Source organism: Homo sapiens, chromosome 7 (assembly GCF_000001405.40).
Source record: "Homo sapiens chromosome 7, GRCh38.p14 Primary Assembly".
In the NCBI taxonomy this organism is placed as follows: Eukaryota; Metazoa; Chordata; class Mammalia; order Primates; family Hominidae; genus Homo; species Homo sapiens.
The window spans coordinates 49880857-49908720 of NC_000007.14; the positions used below are offsets into that span (position 1 = coordinate 49880857).

A 27864-nucleotide genomic window follows, 5' to 3' on the forward strand; every position below is an offset into this window, starting at 1 on the left:
TGGAATACTGTAAATACTACTAGGATTAAAGGTTCTCTTACAGAAAAGATTGGGCACGTTCAGGGTGGCATGATGTAATCATCAGTTTATCTGGCTTTGGTGTGCTTTTTTAAAGAGTAAGCTTTCAATCCATCCTTTGTACAATAAGTGATTTATTCAAATGTTTCATCCTTTCTTGGGTCCCTTGGTCCATTCTCTGTTGGCCAATATCTTGCCCTATCTTGTCCTCCATTCCTGGCCTCAGTTCTCTCAGCCTGAGAGGCCAGGTTTGCGTTTGACTTGTATTCAGTTGTCCTGAGCCTTCGGGGCTACTAGGCTCAGGAGGTGAAGCTGACTGAGCTTGAGCCGAGAGGAGGAGAGTCCTGTTCAGGTTGCCTCAGTCCCAGCTTTCCAGTTCTTTTGTTCCATTTGTTTCATCAACCAGCTAAATCTTTAGAGTGCTGCTGGCCTATAAGAGACTCCACCCATCTAACAATACAGCTTGTGGAACTTGAGAAATTCAAAAAAACAGCACTGAAATTATATTTGTGGTCATAGGGGAGTCTGGAATGAATGATTTAATAGAAAGTTTAAAAAATAGAGAGAGAGCACTAATTGTGCCTAACCCTACCTCACCTCTACCCATGCACAAAACGTCCTGTCTCTTTTGACTGTGGCCTTACTTATTTGGGTTGAAACTAATCAGGAGGAAGCTCAAGATATGTGTTATTAGCCCCACAAAATGTGTGCTGTATCGTTTCTTTGAAATAGTCTTGTTCCCATCTATCTGTGCCTTGCTTGTCTCAAACCACTACAATATTATTTCAGAATATATTAGTTTTCCCTAAAAGTCTTTGGTTTGGTTAGATTTCTAGTAGAATAACTCTAAATAGGCTTTTGATAGGCAATTCATCTCTTTAATTCATCTCTTTTAAAATATAGATTGAAATCACTTTGTATATAATAATAATTAAAATAATTCATAACTTATGTTTGTACTACTAAACAGATATTTTTCTGAAGTTGAATTCATAGATTTTTTAATAAAAGAGACAAATATTAGGTATACTCAATTTCCAATTAATTAAAATTTTCCTTTCCTTTTTTTAAATTTGTCTTGAAAATAAATTACATTTTCGTATTATTTTATAAGCCTAAGAAAAAATGAAAACAGCTTTTAGAGAAGCACCCAAGCGCCATCTGCCAGCTTAACAGTTGCTCATAAATTTTTGTTTTAAAAATTATTTAAAACAAAAAATGATGTATAAACATAGATTTATATGTGCCATAATACTTGAGAAAAAAACTGGTGATATAATCAATATTTGTTCTCTTCTTTTATTAATTTAAAAGAGAACAAAACTAGTGGAAGTAACACTTTTTTGTTTACATGGAAGTTGTCCAGAGTTTTCAATTAGGAGGAGGAAGAGAGATTCTTGGCTATTTCTCTTTGTTCTGCTAAGCCTTCCTCACTTTATAATGTTAGCACATGGCAATAAAAAGCAAATTAGAAAAAGAAAAACATATCAGTATTTCACGTCAATAAACCATCCACTGTCTTTATTTTGTCTTCTCTTTTAGTCTTTTTCCATATACATCCTATATGGAATTTAGATTTTCACTGTAAAGAGAAAGAGAGGAAGGAAGAGAGACTGAGACAGATAAGGAGAGACAGAGAAAAAGAGAGACAGAGGGACACACAGAGAGAGAGACAGAGAGAGACACACAGGGAGTAACAAAGAGAGATAAGGAGAGAGACAGAGATAGTGAGTACAGAAAGGAGGCAGGGAGAGAGACAGGGAGAGAGGTAAACACTACGTCTCATCCCTGGTGAGCTTTTGGCTTCTGCACCTCTGGGTGTCAATTGAAGAGATCAATGTGTAACCTTCCTAAGGCCACACAAGAAGCACAGACAAAATTGTATTTAAAAGAATCTGATTCCCAACTTTTTTTTCTAAAAGGAAATTCAAGTCATTTATAAGTTTCAACTACATCTTCTATTTTTTGTGTTTTTGGGTTTTTTTTGTTTTTGTTGTTGTTGTTGTTGTTGTTTTGATCTGAATTTTCCTCTATCTTAAACTCTTCTGGAGAATAAATCCACAGAAAGCCTCAAAGCTCCCTGTCAATCGCCTCCGTGTTGTCTCCATTTCATCTCTGCCCTGGCCCCGCCTGCTTGCTACCTGGATTAACATTCCCTCTTCCTCCCTGAGCTTGTCTGGGTCCTTTGAGACAGAGAAGCCAAGACCAGATGAAATGGGCCAGAGATTTCCCAAAAGAAACAACTTTGAGGGGAAATGAGGAGGAAGGCGCAGGGAGCTGTCAGACCTTTATGCAGGTTTGAGCTTGAGGAGAAGCAGGCAATGAAGTCGACTGACCCGAACCTGCCAAGCGGAACCTAACCCAGGGAGGCGTCTTTCCAGAGCAGGGGCCAGAATAGGCGAATCCAGGGCACTGCCATGGAGAACAAACCAGGCCGAGTTAGCAAGCTGCAATATTGACTCAAGAAATAAGCTTAAATATAAAAATGGCTTCGTCTGAAATAAATGTACTAAAAAAATAGGAAAAACAATTTGGAAAAAAGGTGAATTATGTTCTCAAAATAAACATTAAAAATAATGATATATCCATGGCATTAGATTTAAACTAACTCAGGGAGATTAGGAAAGCTCAAGAAAAAATTAAAATCATATTGGCCAATGTTCAAAAATCACAGTGTAAAACATTAGCTGCACACATAGGATTGATGAGGACATTAGCTCAGGCATGTTCTTCCAAAGTTGTGGAAATGATAAAACAATGTAAAAATAAAATGGGAAAAATTGACAGAAAAAGAGGAAATTTCACCTTCCGATAGCTGCACTTCCTCAAACAGACATCAGAACAGATCAAAGACAATGAACACAAATTTTGGCTTTAAAGTTTCTAATTGAACACAAATTTGAAATGATCCACCAAGTATCAGTTAAAATCAATGAACAGAGCCTAATTCATAGACATACCCTAGTGAATGTTTGAATTTCTAGAATAAAGAAAACAAGTATTCAACAAAGATGTAAAAGTCATGCTGGCTTCGGATTGTCTTCTGCTAAGAACAGAAAGCAGTGGAGAGCAATCCCCCTTAGGTGTGATGGTGGAGAAAGCATTTCTTCCTGCAGAGGGTTAGCACGACTGTGGGTGTGGGGCCAGCCAAGGTAGGAGGCAACTCCCAGGACCTTGGGGCATCACACACTTCAAGAACCCTGAGCACAGAACCAGCTGCAAACCTGTCAGGCTGGTAGAGGAAGGGGTTCCTGCAGTGGCCCCTGAAGCCACAGTACTGGGGCCAGTCCCATGGAGTGTGGGAGGGAAGAAGGGTCCAGGCTGCTGGCTGAGGAGCCATTGCCCATGTCTGGGCTGGAGGAAGGATGAAGATAGCAAATGGGTGCCAGTGCTATGGAAACACAGGGGTTCCCCCTAGGTCCTCCTGGCCATAGCATGGAGAGCCAATCACTGAGTTGAGTATTGCCAGGGAAGAAGGCTTTAACCGGGTGCTACAGCCGAGGAGAACAGGAGATAAAGTCTCAAATCTGTCTCCTTGACTAAAATTGGGGGATTCACATAGCTGGGAAGGTGGAGAACAGCAATTCGGGGTGGGGTAAGAAAGTCATCCTGATGGATGAGGGGTGTGGCATCTCATTCTCTGGATCCTGGGATCCACTGAAGTTCAGGAAGGAACTCAGTTCTAAGACAAATATAAATTTCAAGTTTTAAGACAGTGGGTCAATTTCTATGTCTATTTAAAAACCAGTAAATATGATTTATATAGGACAGTTGAGCTGGTTTCCTCAGGAGAGCAGGACCTGCTGCCTGACTGTGTCAACACCTGTGAGATTTACAGCCCAAACTCAAGTCAAGTTTTAATTCATTGTCTTAAATATTTTCACTCATAAACGGGGAAAAAAATAAATAAACCTAGGATTCCAAAGGAGAGAAAAACAAAAGTCCAAAAATGATATAGACGTCAATAGTTAATCAAAACAAATAGAAAAATAATACATGAGAAAATAGAAAAATTATAGAGGAAATTCAGAAACCTAAAAACTAATTCCTTGACCAATGAAATAATAGTTTCTAACAAGTCAAATAAAAAGATGAAAAGTATCAAATTTTTGAAATTAGGAAATAGGATATAAGTGTTGTATGGCTAAATTTAAAATTATAGAATTCCTTGTACTATTGCAACTTTTTAAATATTTGGTAAAATATCAAAATCTCAATTATATGGATTATAATCTGGGTTCACTAAAAGTATCTCTAAAGGAGAAACAGAAAAATAGAATCCTTCAAAAAGCACATAAGAAATTGAAATAATTGTTAAATAATTTAGTTCCAGAGAAGTTTTAATGTAACTTCCACAAGGCTTTTGAAAAGCGAGTAATATGTCTCTAGTTAAAATTGGCACATAAAATGAGAGGTAATTTCTCAACAAATTTCATAACGTTAGGATAATTCTAAACCACAACCTAATTTTTAAAAAATATCTCTGAAAGTAAAACTATATAAATATATACAATTATGTTCATAAAAATTAAGAATAAAAATTTACAAGAAAATATGGGAAAATTGCACTTATTGATACAGATGTAAGATAGCAGATTAACTTCATCAAATTACATTCTGAAAAGGTAAAACTCGTTATATAATTAGGATTTTTTCTAATAACGTTTTTCAGTTACAAGAATTATCTATTTCAATTCAGTCTCCTAAACAGGGACAAAAGAGTGAAGCACAAGATATGTTTTTAAGAAAATACCTCCTCTCATTTTATTCTGAAAGTTCTACCTAGTCCATTAATACAGAGGTGTTAACATAGTGATCAGGAATAGATACAAGAGTCTACGAGGGTGTAAGAAATTGGGGCTAATTTTAGATGCGGTTAAAGTATTGATTTATGAGTGCAGGTGCTTGCGGCCTGGACCACTAGCACCGGGGACGCAGCCCTGGAGCTGAGAAGCAGCAGCTGGCCGCTGCAGCATTCAGGGTACACCTGGTAGGGCTACAGGCCCTTGGCATGGCAGAGGAGGAGAGGAATCAAGACCTCCGTGATTCTGGGGCTGTGCAGAGGAGTCTCCCCTCCCTGCAAGGGGAAGTTTGGAGAAAATCAGTTACATTTTTGACGTGATGCATTTTGAAATCGCTGTTGGACATCGGAGTGGAGAGGTCAGGAAAGCAGTGTGTGCAAGAGCCTGGAGATAGGGGAGAGGTCCAGACTGGAGGCGTCACCAGGTGCTGGGCAGTGTCTGAAGCCCCTGGGCTGGGCAAGTACAGATAAGGAAGCATCCCACACTGAATTTGGGGCACCACAGTGTGGGGTGAGGGAAGTGAGGGGACCTTGGTAAGCTGTGCTTCTACTGTACTGAAATTATCAGTGTGGCTTTGAATCACTTTTAGTAAAAGTCCTTGAATATGCAGACAATAGAGTACATTCCTATTTGGAAGCGCAAAATTCACCACATTAGCCTGACCTCTACAATATTAAGCTTCCTGTAGCTTCTAAATCATCATCTAATATGCTTTATGCTAATATAGGTAATTAAAAATGATATGATTACTTTTTAATTTTGATTTCAAATGGATTTTTCTTTAACTATTTCATTGGTATGCTCTTTTCCATTTTAAGATTTAAAATGTTATTTCTTCTTTTGATTTTAATTTCACTTGTTCTTATCAAATGTCCCTATTCAGTTCTTTTAGAATATGGTATCACATTATTATGTAGTGTAGTATTTTTTTTACTTTTACTTTAGGTTCAGGGGTACATGGGCAGGTTTGTTATATAGGTAAACTAGTGTCAGAGGGGTTTGTTGTACAGATTATTTTGTCACCTATTATGTAGTTTTTTAAAAGAAGTGATGCATTGTTTAAAATTAATCTTTCGATTCAGCCTTTCTGAATTTTTATTTGTATTTATGTTCTTTGACACACAACACTTTGGTGCTCCTCTGCTTTTAATCAAAAATATTTAGCCTTTATTGCATAGAAAAATGTGTATGTTTCAATTGTTGGACCTCGTAAGACTTCTTCTACCCTAATTTCTACTTTATGGGTCCTTTTTAGTTATTTTTTTTTCTTTTTCTTTTGACTTGTCTTGTTTGCCTTTACCTTCATTTTTACTTTTACCTATATTCAAGGCAAATTTTAAGTACTTTTTTGCAGAAGATTTATTTTAAACCATCGCAATTCCTCTGTGATGTCTTTGCACATGAACATTAAACTACTTGAATTATAAAATCCTTTATCGACAAGGGTTTGTATATTTTAACTTCAGGGATGCTTTATCCTGATCGATGATGATTTGGATTTCCCCCCCAATCTCAATACTACTGAACAGATGCTAGATTTGTGGTCTAGCTCTGACACACACTTATTTATTAGTGGCTCTGTGTGTGATTCTTAGCAATTTCTCAGCAGCAATTTTGACTTCAGGATATTCTGCATCATTTGAAAGATTTGCAATTGATTTGTTTTATGTTTGCCTCCTTGGATGATGACACCATTTGCTAGTCATCAAGAATGACAGACAAAGATATTGACATCACTTTGGACTGATTTTAAATGTGGTTATATAATTGATTTATTAGTGTATGTGCTTGGATTACAATGTTTTTGTTTTCATAATAAAACTTGTAATTGTGGGGTATTAGATAACACCATGCTGTATTCTTAAATGGTCTTTCAGAGTATCATTTCATTTGTGTCTGTATGATAATCAGATGTCAATGGCAGATGTCAATGGTTTCCATTTGTACAGGATTCAACACAACTTATGGCAGTAAAATAAGCCCTTCTAAAATTTCGGTGAATTATCAGAGAGGTTCATCCCGGGGCCCAGCTCAAATGCAAGTGTCTCCATTTGTTGAATTAGGAAGTCTATACAACACCACACCAACCCATGGCACTTCCACTGTCTGGAATGCACTTTCTAGATATGGAACTTCTCTCCCATCCCCCAGAAATATCTATTCACAAATGTTCTAGCCTACTGCACTTAACCACCAGACTAGCTGCTGGTTTCTTCCTTGCGTTGTATTTATTCACAGTTCTCCAATCTATGTTTATTCATTCGCTTATTTACATTTGTGTATCTGTAGCCTGTTTCACAATGCATTGCCCTTCACAACCACTTGGTATCATGTATTTGTCCTTGTTGCTAGAGGCAGGCTCATACTGGCTTTGATAATTGATCATGTACATCTCTGTCCAACTCAGAGACTCTTCTCAGCCTCTTCAGTGAGGTCACATTAGTAGCTCAAAATTGGCCTTGGTGGAAGTAGTCAATGGCAATTATTTTTTTCTGGACCTTTTAAAAAATTTTCTGACAGCCAGTTAAATACTAATCAAGACACCACTAAGTTTCCTTTTTCCTTATCTTCTTAGGTTTAATCCTGCTCCTAATTCTACTTTTCCTTATTTGTTCACAGTAACTTGGTATTTGTCGATTTTGTTAACTCTGTAGCTATTATTTAGATGATCACTGATTTTCCTAAATTTAGTTCTTGTTCAGATTATCAATTTAGGTATGGTATAGAGCTACAAAACTGATTTCACTACATTTTATTCTATTAGTAATATTGATTTTTTTCTAATTCATAACATTCCATTCATCCTTTGTACCATGTCACTATGAAGGGGTTAAGACCAGTTCAGAAGGACTGGCTTCAGTATCTGAGATCATAGCAGGCCTCCCTGAAGCCTCAGGCAGCCTGCATCCCAGCACACTCCCTGGCCCAAGGGTGTTTATGAAGTGCACCTTTTGCCAGGCGCGGTGGCTCACCGCTGTAATCCCAGCACTTTGGGAGGCCTAGGTGGGTGGATCACCTGCGGTCAGGAGTTCTAGATTAGCCTGGCCAACATGGTAAAACCCCGTTTCTACTAAAAATACAAAAATTAGCCAGGCGTGGTGGCAGGCGCCTGTAATCTCAGCTACTTTGGGGGCCGAGGCAGGAGAATCGCTTGAACTCGGGAGGCGGAGGTTGCAGTGAGCTGAGATCGCACCATCACAGTCTAGCCTGGGGGACAAGAGCGAGACTTCATCTCAAAAAAAACAAAAACAAAAACAAAAAAAAACAAAAGAAGTGTACCTCAGCAGACATATGGAGGATGGAGCTGGGGATGACCCATTGGGCTGACGCAAGTAGGGGCCACCTGGACCACACTGACAGGCTGTAGGCTGAGTGCTGCTTTCTGAATTGGAGTTGCAAGTGAGACCAGATATACAGGGAATGCTCATCTTTTGTTTCTTCTGGGTACATTACAAATGATTATTCCCTCATTTCTGAGTCACATCACATTCACTTCATAGTCACATCACAAACAAGCTGATGTTTGTGACTTTTAAAATATATTAATGGAATTTGGAGAAGGGGCATTTCCTGGTGTTGCCATTTTTCTGTTTTTCAAGATGCTACTTAGGCTTCTATTGTGAAGGTTAAACTTGACGGCATGTCATAGTAACCAGTGAATTGAGGTCTAACTATAAAAATAAGACAGTATAATTTAAACATATCATGGCAACATTAGTGCTTTCCCACATACTTGAAATTGTTATGCCTCAAATGTGGGGAAGTAGAGGGAAGAAATGCATGAGAGGCAGAAGATGATGACAAAATCAGGGCAGCTAAGACATTGAAATGGGTCCAGTGAAAGAAGGAGTCCCGGGAGCTAGACACCAAGGCTGGTCAAAGGCGAGGATGAAAAGAGGAGCGGCTACAGGGTGATGACCTAGTCAGAATTCTGGGGACACACAATGGCCATCCATGCAGACCCTTTTTGCTCCTTAAGTTTGCCCTAGGAGCTCCTCAAGGCTTTCACGTTGCTTTTGCCAGTGACCACTGAAATTGTACTGGAAGAAAAAAGAACTTATTGGAAATAAACAACAAACCTGATTAACATATTTTGAATATATTCTATTTGAATTCAAATAGTCCAAGTTGGTCTTTAACGATAACAAATAGGTGCCCCAGTATGCCGTCATTCACGCTTGCAATTCTGAAATAGGGAGACCATCTGGCATGTTAGATCCCACTGAAAAAGTTTGAGAGACAAATATATGTTTTGCAAAAGAGTCAAATAACTAATCTCAATTTTAATCTTGTGATTAGAATTGGGATCTAATTCTAGGTTTCAGTTTTCCCATCTGAGTGTTGAAGTATCAGAACAAAGAACACCAAGGCCTAATATTTTGTAGTTTGAGCATTTCAAAGCCTCAATTTCCCACCTCACATTTAACACCCATACATCTCCTTTAGGAACAGAGGGAATATTAACACAGATGAAGCAGAGCTCTGTGGTCTTAACAATGAACAACTGCATAAGTAGCAAAAAGACAAGGTGATGTACTATCCTAATAATTTTCCCAGGTCAAGCGTATTTGATAAAAACTTTGAAATTCTATTATATAAATTATATTCTGACATAAATGGATCAGGGACACATGCAAAATTGTATTTAATTTCTAATGGTAGGACCATCAGGAAGACAAAAGAACTTGTTCAAAAACAGGGATTTACAACAGTCAGTATGGAAAGGAATGCATATATAAGATTGCTAAATTACATAATATGCTGTTTGACTTTTTACAGACCAATAAATCCATAACATCTCTAGGTTAGCATCCCTACTGAACTATAGAATCATAACACCTTATCAATTTCTGCAGGCTAACTTCTCATTTTATAGGGATACTTAGGATCTGCTCCTTTCTTATTTGGGAATTGTTAGTCAAATATACTGTGACAGTGAAATCATCCCAAAGCTACTTTTAGCCATGATGGAACAGGGTGCATGAGAGTAACTCCCACTACTGAGAACAAATCTAAGGGATAGAATGCACACACATTAAAACACAAAGCAAAACAAAAAAAAAAAAAACTGATTTGAAAGCATGAGAGAACAAAGGACTTGAAGGTCTAGCTCTCACAGGAAAGGAAGGCTCACTGAGATAAACCCCAGGTTCACCTCCTTACTTTAAGATTCTTTTAAGATTTGTATTTAAGGATTTGTATCAGGCAATAGGAAACTCACAAGCCAGGAGACGGGTAAACAGGCATAAAAAAAAGGTCCTTTAGAAGACAACAAATGAGATAAAAGGAACAAAAAAAGATGGGCTAAATAGGAAAGAACTACTAAGGCCATAGATTTAAGCCAAATATATTCATTACTATATTGAATAAAAATCAATTAAATATATTTTTAAGACAAAGATTTTCAAACACAGTTTCTTAAACTCCATATTCTGCTTTCAAGGGACACTTTAACTGCAGGATGGCAAAAATGTTGAATGTAAAAAGATACAAATATGGACCCTATAAATTATAACCAAAAAAATGCAGTTAGCAGAACAGACAAAGTAGATTTTAAGGCAAGAAGCATCTCTTGAGACAAGCGATAAAAGCCTCAATTTAGCCAGATGACATTACTCTGCTAATTATATATGTAACTAATAGCATAGCTTTAAAGTAAAGCAAAATTGGAAAGAACTAAAAAGAGAGATGACAATTCCATAATTATAATTGGAAGTTTTATTTGTCATCACACATCAGACAAAGGACTTTTGCAGAGTACATGAAAATTCTGACAAATAAATAAGGACTTGACAACCAGTAGAAAATAATGACAAGATACTTCAAAAGACACATATTAGCAGAGAATATCCAAACAATCAGTCATCAAGGAAATGCAAGTTAAAGCCACCATTCGATACTATTGCACATCCGCCAGGGTCGATAAAATATAACAATAAAAAAAAACAGCAATAATACCAACATCAAGCTCTGGATCAACTGGAGTTCTTATATACTGATTCTGATGTAATCACTTTGGGAAAACATTTATTGCTTTCTGCTACAGCTGAAAGTACACATGCCCTGTGACCCAACTCTTCCATTCCTGTGATAGTTGCACAGCAAGGACACTTCTAAAAATGCTTATGGAAGAATGTTTTACTTCATAATAGGTCCTTTTAATAGCTACCACTATAGTACTCTAACTTTCTGCTATTGATAGATACTTTAAAGTAAATATCTATCAAGAGTAGAAAGTAAATGTCTATCAAGAGTAGTAAATAAATTTTGATATATTCATAAAATGAAAAGATACAAATACGGACCCTATAAATTATAACCAAAAGAATGCAGTTGGCAGAACAGACAAAGTAGATTTTTTTTTTTTTTTTTTTTTTTTTTTTTTTGAGACGGAGTCTCGCTCTGTGGCCCAGGCGGGAGTGCAGTGGCGCAATCTCGGCTCACTGCAAGCTCCGCCTCCCGGGTTCACGCCATTCTCCTGCCTCAGCCTCCCGAGTAGCTGGGACTACAGGCGCCCACCATCACGCCCGGCTAATTTTTTTTGTATTTTTAGTAGAGACGGGGTTTCACCGTGTTAGCCAGGATGGTCTCGATCTCCTGACCTCGTGATCTGCCCGCCTCGGCCTCCCAAAGTGCTGGGATTACAAGCGTGAGCCACCGCGCCCGGCCAGACAAAGTAGATTTTAAGGCAAGAAACATGCAACAATGAGAATGAAATAAGTAAAGCTACTTCGACAATGTGAATAAATCTTATGAACATAATATTGAGGAAAAGAAGTCCTGCTATACAGGGGTATATACATTATGATTATCTAAGGAGTGCAGAGATAGGCAAACCTATTTTATTCTGTTAGAAATCAGCAAAGGCACATGAGGGGGCTTCCCAGGCCCTGGTCATGTTCTGTTTCTTGATTTGTGTTGCAGTTTCATGCTGTGTTGGCATTTTTGTGTGTGCTCTCTCAGCTGGGTGGGAAGGCCTATGTAATAATACTTGCCCAGTGAGTTAGCTTGTGCAAGCCCCAGGGATCTGCCTCTCAGTTCTGCATATTGTGTGCAAAGGAGACAGTGACATTTTTTTACTTACATTTTATTCGTTCATTTTTCAAACACTGCTCCGTGGAATGAATATAAATGTTCATCAGATCCTAATAACTGTGAGAAAAGACTTCTATGGTCAAGTGAATTTAGAAAATGCTGCCCACTCTGCCCCTTTCGCTGAGGTTCTCAGTATATGTTAGCATAATTAAGGTTCTGAAAAGATCTTCAATGAAGAATCCTCACTTAAGTTGTTTAATGAAGCCTGTCCCCAATTTATTTGACAGCGGGGACACTTTTTTAAACAGGTTACCTTTTGCTATATTGGAATATGAACTTTGGGAAATATTTTTCCTTTTTTATTCCTTTGAGGAGGACATATTATTTCTGTTTCCTGAGAATGTTGAGCATGAGAATACTTTAGCCTTTAAAAATGGAGATATATTTTATATCTTGAATTTTGGTGGAGACTGGGTGGCATATGATAAATCAACTTGAAAGGATTGGAACAGGGTAATCAAGGAGTTATGCACTAGGTTCCACGAATCTAGAATACGGCATGTTCCCAGAGGGCTGGAAGGAAGAGTATAAACTACAAGAAGGGCTCCTATTCCTGCATAGCACTCCCTGGGAGTCACTGAGAAAGACAGGATATTAATTTGGCAGGATAGTTTTCAAGCTGGCAGGCGTTTTCTTTTGATGAAGATTATTTCTTCCATAGAGACAAAATTTGATTTTTTTCGTGCTTGTTTTAGTCCCTCTTTAAAAACTTTTGCTCATTTGAACTCTTAGTTAAAAATGATTTTGTACTAGGTCCTTACTAGGAAAACACACATGTCCACATGAACAAATAAATGTGCACAAACACATCAACATATTTTTAGTTTACTCTTAGTGAAATGAAAATGTATCTTAGGAAACCAGTTTTTTTTTTTTTTATCCTTTTGAGACCAGTACCCTGTGAAACTAAAATATGTCAGGTATATAAAAGGGAAATCGAAATACAATAGATGTTGATTCCTCTGTATAAATAACAGTTGGGAAATTTTACATTTGGCAGTCAGAGCTGGTGCTAAGGAACATAATTTACAATAAGTTACAGAAAAAGCAGCTGTTTCAAAAGAGGTTTGGGATGTAAAGTTTGGAATACTTGGGAATTATCTGTTGTTTAATTTCAGAAAATGGAAAAAAATTACCAATAGTCTAGTGCCTAAAATAAAATGCGTTGCCACAAGCAGATGCTGGACCCTGCTGGGCTCTCACTGCTTGGAGTTCTGCTCCATGGGGGCTGTGTCATTCTGGTGTGACGAACCATTCCTCAACACCTAGTCCTGGATGGAAGGGGAGGAGATATGACATAGACACCTATGTGTGTCGTTTCTAGGCTTTTTCTGGAAGGGGAGGAGATATGACATAGACACCTATGTGTGTCGTTTCTAGGCTTTTTCTTTTCTTTCTTTCTTTTGACAGGTTCTCACTCTGTCATCCAGGCTGGTGTGCAGTAGCACAATCACAGCTCACCTCAGCCTCGACCACCCAGGCTCAGGTGACCCTCCCACCTCAGCCTCCTGAATAGCTGGGATTATAGATAGCACCGCCATGCCCGGCTAATTTTTGTATTTTTTGTAGAGACGGGGTTTTGAACACCTGGGCTCAAGCAGTCCACCTGCCTCGGCCTCCCAAAGTGTTATGATTACAGGCATGAGCCACTGCACCTGATCCTTGTTCATCAACACAGTCTTCCTATGGCTTACCATCCCTTGTTATAAAAATCCAAAACATAGTGGCAATTTATCCACCAACTCAGCTGTGATACTTTTATTTCAGTATGCCAATTCATTATTTAATTTGAAGACTTAACTCAACTGTACATATACTGAGCTCTAGCTCTGTGCTGCATGCAGCACTAGACCCTAGGGTGAGGCTGCAGTGCTGTGTTGGCTCCTGTCCTGAGGGACTTCCAATCAGGGAAAAGCGTGGGTGGGGGCCTAGGGCTGTCACTGAGAAGGCTGTTTTGCTGGAGACACAGGAGCAGCCAGGAGGGGAGGCTCAACTAAAAATAGCCCAAGAGGTTCTAGCCAGATTTGGAATTTGTAAGCTACAGCCTTATCATCTGTTCAGCGCTAAGTGCAAGCACCTATCCTGGGCTAGAGTGTGCTGGCAACTAGGGCAGCAGTAGGCGCCGAACACAGCCTCTGCATTGCAGGAGACATGTTGTGAAAGACTTTTTTTAAGGGATGGAAGATGGCTCTTCCCCAGTCAAGAGTGAGTTTTTGTTAAATGTGCTAGGCCATTCTGATACTATATGTCTAAGTCCATTCATGCTACTATAACAAAATACCACAGGCTGGGTAATTTATAAACATCAGAAATGTATTTTCTCACAGTTCTAGTGGCTGGGAAGTCCAACATAAAGGCACTTGCAGATTTGGTGTTTGGAGAGGGCCTGTTCAATTGATGGTGTCTTGCCATGGTAGCGTCCTCACACAGTGGGCAGGGGAGGGATGGAAAGGATGAACAGTTCCCTCACATTTGTTTCCTAAGATCACCAAATCCCACTCATGAGGGCTCTGCCCTCATGACTTAATCACCTCCTGAAGGCTTCACCTCTTAATACTATCACATTGTTGATTAAGTTTCAATGTACGAATTCCAGGGGGACACCAATATTCAGATCACAGCATTGTGCATCAGCACCAGTGAGCAGGGTGGACATACTCATGGAGTCCAGATGGTATAAACAACAAAAAAACCCTTCACAATGTGAACCCTCTGCTCTGACATCAAATGATCACAGAAAAAATCAGTTAAGCCAGGTTTATCAGCTGTCCATGAGGCAAGAAAAGCATTATATCCTATAGCAATTTCAAAATTAATCATTTTTAACCAGAGCATCCTTTAACTGAAACCATGCAAAATCAACACAATGTAACATATCAGTAATTAATTATCAGCCATAGGACTTGGACTAATAGTCTCTCTGAGTCTCATTTTTCATATTTATATAATTTTTCTGCCTGCATATTTCTTGTAATATATAGCATATAAATATAAAAATTAAGTAGCATATAAATATGAAAATTAAGTATAATCAATGTTAATTAATTAAGATTAACCCATTCTCCCACTTAATAATGAAGTTAAATGTATGGGAGGTTACTTGCATTGAGTAATTATAATAGTAGAATCCATTTGTATATATGTATAAATTTTATACATTCTCTTAAGTAATTCATATTTTCATTCACCAGGTAGTCATGAGTGATATATTTTCCCAAGATTCTTAGTAGTTATTGTGCTTCAAGTCTATAAAATTAAAGTAAACGTTTAATGAAAAAGAAAGTACAGGTCCGGTGTGGTGGCTCACACCTGTAATACCAGCACTTTGGGAGGCCAAAGTGGGTGGATCACTTGAGGTTAGGAGTTTGAGACTAGCCTGGTCAATGTGGTAAAACCCTGTCTCTGCTAAAAATACAAAAATTAGTCAGGTTTGGTGGTGCATGCCTGTAGTCCCAGCTACTCAGGAGGCTGAGGCACAAGAATCGCTTGAACCCAGAAGGTGGAGGTTGCAGTGAGCTGAGATTGCACCACTGCACTCTACCCTGAGTGAAAGAGCAAGACTCTACTTCAAAAAAAGGAAAGTATAACACATCACAACTTGTGAGAGACAGATAAAGCAGTGCTAAAAGGAAAACATATGGAATGAAATGCTCACATTAGAAAAGAGAAAAAAATTCCTAAATCAATAATTAAGTTCCTACTTGAAGAAACTTGAAAAAGCAAAGCAAAATAAACCAAAAGCAATGGAAAGAAAAAATAGTAAAGATGAGAACAAAAATCAGTAAAATTGAAAACAAAAAATCATGTAAGAAAATCAATGAAACCAAAAACTGGTTGGTTCTTTGAAAAGATCAACAATTAAACACATAGCAAGACAAAGGAAGAAAAGAAAGAAGACATGAATTACTAAAATAAGTCATAAAATAGGAGGTATGATTACAGGTCCAACAGACATTAAAAAGAAAATGAAGGAATATTATCAGCGACTCTATGCACATAAATTTAACAAGTAAGAAGATGTAGACAAAGTCCTCAAAAAATGCAAACTACCTCAATTCATTCAATATGAAATAATTCGCTTGAGAACTATTAAGAAAATTGGATTGATAATTTTTTTTTTTTTTTTTTTTTTTTTGAGACGGAGTCTCGCTCTGTCGCCCAGGCCGGACTGCAGACTGCAGTGGCGCAATCTCGGCTCACTGCAAGCTCCGCTTCCCGGGTTCACGCCATTCTCCTGCCTCAGCCTCCCGAGTAGCTGGGACTACAGGCGCCCGCCACCTCGCCCGGCTAATTTTTTGTATTTTTAGTAGAGACGGGGTTTCACCTTGTTAGCCAGGATGGTCTCGATCTCCTGACCTCATGATCCACCCGCCTCGGCCTCCCAAAGTGCTGGGATTACAGGCGTGAGCCACCGCGCCCGGCCGGATTGATAATTTTTTAAAAACTCAAACTCAATAGTAATACCAAACATTGAAAGAAGAATTAATTAGTATCCTTAAATCTCATCCAATAATTTCCCAACTCATTCCATGAAGTTATTATTATCCTGATACCAAAACCAAAGACAGTGAAAAAAATACAGGTCAATATTTTGCATGAATACTGCCACAAAATTTCTTTTAAAATATTGATAAAAAGAATACATCAATACAGAAGAAGAATTGCATGCCAAGAACAAGGGGAGTTTATTCCAGATATGCCAAAGTTGGCTTAGTACTCAAACACTGATCAATAGAGTTTCCAGTCTGGCATGTAGAAGCTTGGAAGTTGCAACTCTATCCTAAAAACAGGTAAAACTCTGAACAAACTAAAAAATCAACAACTCTTCTTGGATCCCTCAGAGGTCACAGGACAAACTGTTACTCTCCAAATTGAAGAGACCTGTAGGCAAATACAGAAAATCACAACTTACCTGAGCAGAAAGCTCCATGGGAACCAGTATTGGGTTAGGAAAATGTAAACTGTAATTGAGGAAAACCTAACCGGTAACTGATGAATTGCTGGAAGTTTGCTGGACAAGCTTGAAAGTAAAAAACTCCACAGGGATTCAGTCATAGGGTCACAGTTCCCACACTTTGAGTTTTACTGCCAGGAGCTCAACAAGGTTCTCACAGTGAATATTAGAGAAAAATTCGCTCACACTTCTTGCAGGGGGAGGGGAAAAATAGCCATTTGAAACACTCCAGAGCATTGTGTTCTTCTCAGTTCTCAGGAGAAACTGTTTAACAAGAACTTAACCTGCTAGGGTTTTATCAGAGCCTAACTGATCTGGGTGAAGAGAAATACTCAACTTTAGCCCACTATAGCCTTCCTGTACAACCATTATGTATGCTTTACATATATGTGTGTGTGTGTGTGTATGTATGTGTGTGTGTATATATATGTGTATGCTTTATATGTGTGTGTGTATATATGTGTGTGTATATATGTATGCTTTATATATGTATATACACACACACAAACACACAGATATAAGCATAAATACATTGTTGCTGTTATTATGAACTGTTATCTTTTAAATCAAGGTAAGAAAACATCGAAGTTTTTTTTTTTAAAAAAACCTTCACTTATTCTTTCTATGATGTTACTTCTTTCTTTATTTAGATATGGGTTTCTTACCCATACAATTTTCTTTCTCGCTAAAGAACTTTGAACATTTCTTGTAAGGGTGGTCTACTAACCACAAATCCCTCAATATTTGTTTGTCTGACAAAGTTTTTATTACTCCTTCACTTTTGAAAGTTAATTCTGCAGGCTACAAAATTCTAGAGTGGTGATTTTTTCTTACAACACATTACATATGTATATACACACACACATATCATAAGCATACACACACACATACCCATATATGTAAAATATATGTAAAATATACATAACCTACATAAGCTTATGTATAACAGAAATGAATGACAGCAGTAGGACAATGGATAAAAAGAAGAATTAGGTTTATTTTGTTATTATAAGATACTCTCATTACCCACAAAGTGGTTTAGTGTTATTTGAAAGCTGACTTATGTTAGCTGTATACTGCAAAGTCTAGGGCAACCCCTATAAAAAGTAAAAAAGGAAATATACCATGTATGCTAAGAAAGAAGAAAAATAGAATCATAAAGTGCTAAATTAAAGCCACAAAAAGCATAAAAAAGTTGAAGACAAAAACAGGAACAAAGAGCAAGTGCAACAAATAGAAAATAGTGAGAAATATGGCAGATATTAATTCAACTATATTAACAGTCACTTTGAACATAAATGGGCTATATACACCAAGAAACAGATTTTCAAAGGGGATCAAAAACAACACACCACTATTTGTTGTCTGCAAGAAATCAGACACATAGACTATCCCCCCTTATCCACAAAGGATATGTTCTACAACCCCCAGTGGATGCCTGAAACCTTAGATAGTATTGAACCCTATACATACTATGTTTTTCCCTTATAATAATGGGTGAGTAGCATACACACCAAGAATATGCTAGACAAGGGGATGATTTATGTACCAGGAAAGATGGCATGGGATGGCATGAATGTTCATCATGCTATTTAGAGCAGTGCAAAAAAATTAAAGTTTAGGAGTTTTTTATTTCTGGAATTTTCCATTTAATGTTTTTGGATTGCAGTTGACCATGGGTAACTGAAACCATGGAAAGCAAAACTGTGGATAAAAAGGGACTACTATATAGCTTCAAAGTAAATGGATGGATAAAGTTACACCATGTTAAGACTAATCAAAATAAAGGATAAGTAGCTATATTAATTTCTGACAGAGCAGACTTTAGAACAAGGAAAGTTATCAGCCAGAGGGAGGTATTATATAATGATAAATGAGTCAATTATTCAAGAAGACACACAGGTCTTCAATATGCATTTGCCTGAAAACAGTATCAAAACACATGAGGCAAAATCTGATAGAACTGCAAGAAGAAACAGGTGAATCCACTTTTATACTTGCATATTTCCACACCCCTCTACCAGAAATGTATAGATTCGGGAAGCTGAAAAATCAGTAAGGACATAGTTGACCTGAAGAGTACCATGAGTCAAGTGGATATAATTGACATCTATTGACTACTTCATCAACAATAGCATAATACACATTATTCTCAAGATGATATGGAACCCTTACTAAGATAGACCACATTCTGGGTCATAAAATACCTTAATAAATTTTGAAAAATGGAAATCATACAATAGCTGCTCTCAGACTACAAGGGAATTAAATTAGATATCAGTAATAGAAAGATACCTGGAAAGTCCCCAAATACTTGAATGTTAAACAATAAACTTATAAATAACACATGGAGCCTAGAAGTCTCAAGAGAAGTTTAAAAATATTTTAAACTAAATAAAAATTTAGTTTATTTTAAACTAAATAAAAATATATGTGTGGGATATAGTGAAAGCAGGACTTTAGGGACATTTGTAGCATTGAATGCATAAATTAGAAAAGAAGAAATCTAAAACCAATAATCTAAGCTTCCACCTTTAGAAACTAGAAAAAGAAGAGCAAATTAATTTCAAAGTAGGCCAAAGAAAATAAATGGAGCAGTAATCTATTAATTTAAAACAGGAAAACAATAGAGAAAGCTGATTAAAACAAAAGCTTGTTTATTGAAAAGATTAATAAAAGTTCTAAGTATCTCACCAAGCTAAGAACAAAAAAGAGGATGCAAATTGCTATAAGAAACAAAAGAGAGGACATCATTACAGATCCCATGGACATTAAAGGGATAATAAAAAAATACTACAAACAATCCTATTCCTGCAAGTTTAATAATCAAGATGAAATGAACCAATTCCTTGAAAGACACAATCTGACAAAGCTCACACAAAATGAAATAGATACTCCAAATAGGTCTATATATATAAAAGAGATATAATCAATAATTAACATCCTTCCAAAACAGGAAGCACCGTGGACCCAGATAGGATCACTGGTGAATTATACCAAACATTTAAGGAAGAACTGATATCAATATTTTACAATTTCTTTCAGCGTTACCCTATTACCAAACCAGACATAGACACTACAAGAAAGGAAAACTAAAGACTAATATTTCTTAAGAATATAGATGCAAAAATCCTCAACAAACTATTAGCAAATTGAACCCAACCATGTGTAAGAATAATTATACATCACAACTACATGGGATTTATCCCAGGTATGCCTTAATTCATCACATCAGCAGGCTAAAGAAGAAAAATCACGATGATATCAGTAGATACAGAAAAAAGACCTGACAAAATCTAACACCCTTTTATGATAAGGTAAACTAGGAACAGAGGAGAACTTCATCAACTTGATAAAGACTATTTACAAAAAACCTACAACATCGTACTTACTGTTGAGAAACTTGAAGCTTTCCCACCAGGATTAGGAACAAAATAAGGCTGTCTCCTTTCTTCATTTCCTTTCAACATCATAGTGGAAGTCCCAACTACTGCAATAAGACAAGAAAAAGAAATAAAATGTATACTGATAGGGAAAGAAGAAATAAAACTGTCTTTGTTTGCAGATGACATGATGGTCTGTGTAGAAAATTCAAAACAATCAAGAAAAAAAACTTCAGGAACTAATAAGCAAGATTGCAGTGTACAAGGTTAATAGACAAAATTCAATCACTTTCCTATATACTAGCAAATGACAACTGTAATTTAAAATTAAATACATAATACATTTATATTACTATCACCAAAAAGAAATACTTAGGTATAAAATTAGCAAAATATACATAAGATCTATATGAGGAAAAATATAAAATTATGATAGAAAAAATCATAGAATATATAAATAGAGAGATGTTTCAAGTTCATGGATAGAAAGACTCAACATTATCAAGATCTATTGTTGAGCAATAGATTCAACACAATCCCAAACAAAATCCCAGGAAGCAATTTTATAGTTATCAAAACGGATCCTGTTTTATCTGGAGGGGCAAAAGACCTAGAATAGCCAACACGATATTGAAAGAGAAAAACGTAGCTGAACTTAATATAAAGCAATGGTAATCAAGACAGTGTGGTATTGGCAAAAGAATAGACACATTGATCAATGGAACAGAATAGAGAGCCCAGAAATAGACTCAGATAAATATGAACACTGTTTGCTAACACTGTTAGCTAACACTGTTTGCTAACAGAGTAAACATAGTACAATGGAACAATGATAGTTTTTTCAACGAATGGTACTGGAACAACTGAGCATCCACATGTGAAAAAATAAATCAAGAGACAGACTTTACACCCTTCATAAAAATTAACTTAAAATAGATTATATACCTACATGTAAATCATAGAACCATAAAAGTCGTAGAAGATCACATAGGAGAAAGTCTAGATAGCTTTGGGTTTGGTGATGAATTTTTAGATACAACATCAGTAACATGAATAATAAAGAAAGAATTGATGGGCTGGCCTCCATTAAAATTAAAAATTTTTGCTCTCTGAAAGATGTTCTCAAAAGAATGAAAGGCAAACCACAGACTGGAAGAAAACATTTGCAAAAGACATAAAAAAAACTGTTGTCCTAAATATACAAACAATTTTGGAATAGAATAAAGAGGGAAGAATCATTCCACCCCATTTAAAATCTATTGTATTGTGAAGAGGACAGACACATAGATCAGTGGAACAGCAGAACACAGAAACAGACCCACAACAGTACAGCAAATTTATTTTTGACAAAGGTGCAAAGGTAACTCAATGAAAGGGTAGTTTTTTGTTTGTTTGTTTGCTTGTTTTTTTAACAAATGACACTGTAACAATTGGATATCCGTAGCCAAAAAAAAAAAAAAAGAATCTCAAACCCAAACCTCACACCCTATGAAAAATTTATCTCAGAATGGATCATAGATTTAAATGTAAACCATAAAAGTATAACATTCTTATGAAATAACAAGAAAAAAACTTTAGGACGTAGGGCTTCTTGATGAGTTGTTAGGACATCAAAAGCAGGATCCATAAGATAGAAAATTGATGCATTTGATCGCATTGAAATATAAAATTTTTTTGAAATATAAATTTTTTCTTTTATCAAAGACCCCTTTAAGATGATAGAAAGCTACAAGCTCAGATAAAATATTTGTAAACCACATGTCTGATAAAGGAACAGTACGTGGAACATATAAATAACACAACATTAAACAATAAAAACACCAAACAATTCAGTTAGAAAATAGGCAAAATACATGAAGAGTCCTTTCACAGATGAAGATATAAAATGGCAAATAAACACATGAAAAGATGAACATCACCCGCCACTAGGGAAATACAAATTAAAACTTGAGATATCACTATACATCAATATAATGGCTAAAACAAAAACTTGTGACAAGATCAAATGCTGGTAAAGATGTGAGTAAACTGGATTCGTGGTTGGACTGTAAATTTTATAGACATTCTGGAAAACAGTTTGTCAGTTTCTTATAAAACTAAATACTCAGCTACCACACAATCCAGCAATTGTGGTAGTTGTATTTCTCCTGTGCTTTCATTTAGGAGAAAGACTATGTTCACAGAAAATATTCAGCTTTATTTATAATAGCTCAAAACTGGAAAAAAACAAAATGCCACTCAGTTGTTAAATTATTAAACTGTGGTACAGCCATACCATGGAATACAACTTACCTGTTAAAAGGAATGAACTATTGATACTCACCACAACTTGGATAGATCTCAAAGGCTTTATGCTGAGTTTTAAAAGCCAATCCCAAAGCCCACTTTTGATACTATATGATTCCACTTACGTAGTATTCTTTTAATAATAAAACAATAGATATGGAGAATATTATCAGCCCTGAGGGGTTAAAGATGGTGGGGCCAGAGAAGGTGCAGTGTGACTATATAGGGTGGCAGAGGGAGGTCTTGATTGGGTGGTGATTACACAAAGTTGTATATGCAATCAAATAACATAGACGTATATGCACATATTATTGAAGTGGCTACGTTGTCTGGGGTATATACCCAGGGTTTGTGGTCTTGCTCCAGGAAAATTTAGGACAGGGACACACACAAAGAGTTTGGGAGCGGAGGTTTAATAGGCAGAAGAAAGAGAAAGAACAGCTCTCTCTCTAGTGAGAGAGAAGGGACTTCCAAGAGGAAAGACTGGCTGGTGGCAGATGCGCTGGATTTTATATTCCGCCTTGAGGAGGCAATGTCTGGTTTACATAGGGCTCACAGATTGGTTGGATCAGATGTGACATTTACATAGCATGGGGGAAGGCTGGTCACCCCACCCTAATCTTATTTTGTAAATGAACTCTCCCCTTGGTGGTTGCCATCTTATCTGCTCCTTACTATACACATGGCTGGCAGAGAAGGGAAGATGGAGCCACCATCTTGAACATGTCTAGTCAGTAGTTCCTGCTGGCATTGACTCTTGTAAGCTCCCAGCTTGTCTATGTCTGCAGCTCAACTTTACAGGCTGCTCTTTGTTAGAAAATGATTTGAGGCTGCTTTTCATTAAAAGAAAAGCTTTACCGAGGACTCCCATACCCTCACTATCTGCCTAAGTGATTTCTTCTTCACTCCTGTATTATTCTATAATCATGTAAGCTGTAACTTTGGGAAAAAAACTGAGTGAAGGCTGCATAGGACCTCCTACTCCCTTTGCAACTTCCAGGTTTGATTTCAAAATAAAACAAATTTTTAAAAAGTAGTATGTTTTTAAAAAGAAAATAAATGCACATGCATGTAGATACACATGTTTAGAGGGACTTGGTTGAAACAATCTCACAACTTGATTGATTTATTAGGAATGCTGCTTATAGGAGGAAGGCTTTAAAAAATTTCAGTAATTAAAATCTGTTGTAAAAATCCAAATTTACATTTTAGTTAAATTTTTATAACTTACCACTTTTACATGGTTTTTATTCAAAAAGAACTTACCTATTACAAGAGCAGTAACTTTACATCATAACTAAATATTTGAAGCAGGAAAAAATAGCAACATAGCATATATTAATTTTTTTTTTTTTTTTTGAGATGGAGTATCACTCTGTCGCCCAGGTTGGAGTGCAGTGGCGCGATCTCGGCTCACTGCAACCTCCTCTCCCCAGGATCAAGCAATTCTCCTGCCTCAGCCTCCCAAGTAGCTTGGATTATAGGCACCTGCCACTGCACCTGGCTAATTTTTGTATTTTTAGTAGAGATGGGGTTTCACCATCTTGGCCAGGCTGGTCTTGAACTCCTGACCTCATAATCTACCCACCTCAGCCTCCCAAAGTGCTGGGATTAGAGGTGTGAGCCATCGTGCCAGGCCATCATGTATTAATTCTAATTGTTATCTGAATAATCCCCTCCTTAAGCTAAAAATCACTTAAGATGAAGAAAGCTTACTTTAGGAATTTTTAAGGGTCCACATTTATACAGCTTATTTGAAACATAAATTGACCTTCCATCACCTCAACTGTACTGTGTTAAGACAGAAGCAGCATATTCAACATGGGCAGTTCTATGATGTATTAGGAAAAGGGGTAAAAGACAGTACTTATCATGAGAGTACATGATAGCTATGGAAAGTGACCATTCATCACTCAGCCATCTCCACCACAGCAGCCACTGCTACAGCAGTGCCACTGCTTTTACTCACGCTGTGAAAGAACCAGTACAATAGTTCCTCAGAGTCATCAGGGACTAAATAAACAAAAAGGAAGCAAATTTTGGTAAATATTCGTTTTTCACATTCTAAGCAAGTTTACATTCCCTCTTGGAATTAATTTCATTGGTAATATATTTTAATGTGAGGTAAACCTTGATTTCTATCATTTAAAAAAGAGTTTTATTTATTTGTGTGCATTGTACTTTGTGTGTTTGTAAACTACAATACAATAGAAAACTCTACAATGAGAAAATTACTGTCTAATGGAGATGTCAGAGGTGTTTGAACCAGAGCCACTCCATCTTGAATAGGGGCTGGGTAAAATGAGGCTGAGACCTACTGGGCTGCATTCCCAGATGGTTAAGGCATTCTAAGTCACGAGATAGGATGTTGGCGCAAGAAAGAGGTCGGCTCAAGAAACAGGTCATAAAGCCCTTGCTGATAAAACAGGCTGCAGTAAAGAAGCCGGCTAAAACCCACCAAAACCAAGATGGCCATGAGAGTGACCTCTAGTCATCCTCACTGCTACACTCCCACCAGCACCATGACAGTTTACAAATGCCATGGCAACATCAGGAAGTTACCTTATATGGTCTAAAAAGGGGAGGAACCCTCAGTTCTGTGAATTGCCCACCCTTTCCCAGAAAACTCATAAATAATTGACTCCCTGTTTAGCATATAATCAAGAAATAACCATAAAAATGGGCAGCCAGTGGCCCTCAGGGCTGCTTTGTCTACGGAGTAGCCATTCTTTATTCCTTCACTTTCTTAATAAACTTGCTTTCACTTTACTCTATGGACTCACCCCAAATTCTTTCTTGCATGAAATCCAAGAACCCTCACTTGGGGTGTGGATCAGGACCCCTTTCTAGTAACAGAGTAACTAGTTAAAATAATAATAAGGACAAAAAATTCAAAAAAGAACAAAGAGCTAAAGAATATAGTAAATATTAACTGTCAAAAATTTTCTCTTTTTTTTTGAGACAGAGTCTTGCTCTGTCGCCCAGGCTGGAGTGCAGTGGCGGCGACCTCAGCTCACTGCAAGCTCTGCCTCCTGGGTTCACGCCATTTTCCTGCCTCAGCCTCCCAAGTAGCTGGGACTACAGGCACCCGCCACCACACCCAGCTAATTTTTTTGTATTTTTACTATAGATGGGGTTTCACTGTGTTAGCCAGGATGGTCTTGATCTCCTGACCTCGTGATCCACCCACCTTGGCCTCACAAAGTGCTGGGATTACAGGCGTGAGCCACCGCACCCAGCCAACTGTCAAAAATTTAATAAATCATACTATCATAAAATTCTTACCAAGAATTATTATTTTCTTTTAATCACAGCAGTGGGGGACAAACATCTGAAGTACAGATGCTGAGTTGCCTTCACCCCAACTTTCTTATGTGAAACAGCTTGTAAATTGTTGCTTTCTGCCTCTAGGATTGTGTGTTTTAAATCATTTTAACACTTGATGTTTTCGTTGGTTTTTGTTTTTCCTCATGAATACAGGCTTTACTAATCAATTCCAGCAATTTTTATATCTCTTTCTTGCCTGAAGCAGATGATAAAAAAAAATGTGCTAAGCATTTATATGTTTCCTAAATGCAGGGGGACCAGTTTCAAGTGACCCATCAATAGAGTCCATGTTGAATAAACAATGGTGAAGGCACACAGTGGAGCCATAAAGAACAAGTACTGGGTCTGTGTATGGATGTGGAGTGATAAGCTGGGACATGTTTTTAGGTGAAAAAAAGCAAAGTACACAGCATTAAGAAGTATGTTACCTTTTGTGAAAGAAAAATGAGGAAATAATTTGCTTATTCTTAAAAAAAGTTACACTCGAAGGATAAATTAGAAATCACTGAAAATGATTGACATAATGGCTGGAGGTGGGAGGTAACAGAATAGGAATGAAGTGGAGAGGATAAATGGGAACAGATGGACCTGACTCTATATGCCAGTGATAATACAACCACACAGAGAAGAGATAAGTGACTTTTGAGCAAAATATGCTGGCTCTAAGAAGTGCAAAATATATATTAATTACTAGGAATGACATTTGCATTGTAATTTTTAAATTACATAACAGTAGGATAAAAATAGGAGAGTATATTAAGGATTTTAATAAACAAGAGTCTGTCAACAAAAAGAGTCAAACTCTGTAAAATATTTAAAGAGATTTATTCTGAGCCAAATATGAGTAACCATGGTCCATGACACAGTCCCAGGAGAGTCTGAGAATGTGTGCCCAAGGTGATTGGGACACAGCTTGGCTTTATACATTTTAGGGTAACATAAGACATCAATCAATACATGTAATGTATATATTGGTTTGGTCCTGAAAGGTGGGACAACTAAAAACTGAGGGTGGAGTTGGGGGCCACTTCCTGGTCATAGGTGTATTCAAAGATGTTCTGATTGACAATTGCTTGAAAGAGCTATCATATAAAGACCTGGAATCAATAGAAAGGAATGTCTGGGTTAAGATAAGGGGTTGTGGAGACCATAGTTTTGTCATGCAGATGAAGCCTCCAGTAGCACGCTTCAGAGCTCTTATCAGACCTATAAAGGTGCCAGACTCTTCATTAATTCTCTCCTGGATGGGGGAAAAGACCTGGAAAGGGAAGGGGATTGTCTACGGAATGCAGATTTTCCCCACAAAAGACAGCCTTGCAGGGCCATTTCAAAATATGTCAAAGAAATATATTTTGGGACAAAATACATCTATTTCTTTCAGGGACCACTGTCTGTCATGTGATGCCAATACTAGAGTCAGGCTGGAATTTGGTTTCTTATTGCTACAAAAAGTCTGTTTTGTCAGTTTTAAGATCTCTATTTTAATGGTAAAGCTGGTCAGCTGTGCCTGAATTCCAAAAGGAGGAGGTTATAATGAGGCATGTCCAACGCCTACATTTCATCATGACCTGAGACAGGTTTTCAGGTTAACTTTGGAATGCCCTTGTCCACAAGGAGGGGTCCATTCAATTGGTGAGGGACTTAGAAGTTTATTTTTGGTTTACAGGTCTTAGTGTAAAATGAGACATATAATTAAAATCTAAATACAACAGGATAAGCAAAATAAGTAAATATGTTAAAATGTTTCATTGTATGAGAAAAGCCACACATAACACAAATCTAAGAGGAAAATTTTTGAATTATAATTAATATTATGAATTTATAATTTTTAAAAATGTATGTGTATGTGTGTTTTTATGTGTTCCTATCTGTGCCCACCAAGAAGGCCTAGAAGGGCCACCCCAGTCAGTATACTACACGTGATAGCCAGGTCTTTGTTCTAAATATATTCTCCACCAAAAGGAAGAGAGAAGGTTAATTACAGATATGGGCAAGATCA

General features: G+C 37.2%; 2 protein-coding genes across 12 annotated transcripts in view, besides 1 other annotated feature; one reads left to right on the plus strand and one right to left on the minus strand.

The window, feature by feature from the left end:
* VWC2 (von Willebrand factor C domain containing 2) overlaps positions 1 to 27864 on the plus strand; it is a 148568-nt gene that overhangs the window by 107219 nt on the left and 13485 nt on the right. The window lies entirely within an intron of this gene.
* ZPBP (zona pellucida binding protein) overlaps positions 1 to 27864 on the minus strand; it is a 252593-nt gene that overhangs the window by 40203 nt on the left and 184526 nt on the right. For 5 of the 7 annotated variants that reach the window (XM_011515100.3, XM_011515101.4, XM_011515096.3 and 2 more), the window contains 2 exons: positions 20262 to 20359; positions 16711 to 16796 (listed from right to left, as the gene is read on the minus strand). In XM_011515100.3, coding sequence (XP_011513402.1) covers positions 16731 to 16796; positions 20262 to 20359 — 164 coding nt within the window. In that variant the 3' untranslated portion in view covers positions 16711 to 16730. Of the gene's footprint in view, positions 1 to 16710; positions 16797 to 20261; positions 20360 to 27864 lie in introns of those variants that run through there. The other 2 variants (XR_001744543.2, XM_011515097.2) reach the window with 1 other exon arrangement.
* Positions 26689 to 27190: an enhancer, noted in NCBI's record as "NANOG hESC enhancer chr7:49947141-49947642 (GRCh37/hg19 assembly coordinates)". NCBI's record gives its function as "activates a minimal SCP1, AML or CMV promoter by ChIP-STARR-seq in naive H9 embryonic stem cells {active_cell/tissue: H9 hESC(naive)}" and the evidence as "EXISTENCE:reporter gene assay evidence [ECO:0000049][PMID:30033119]".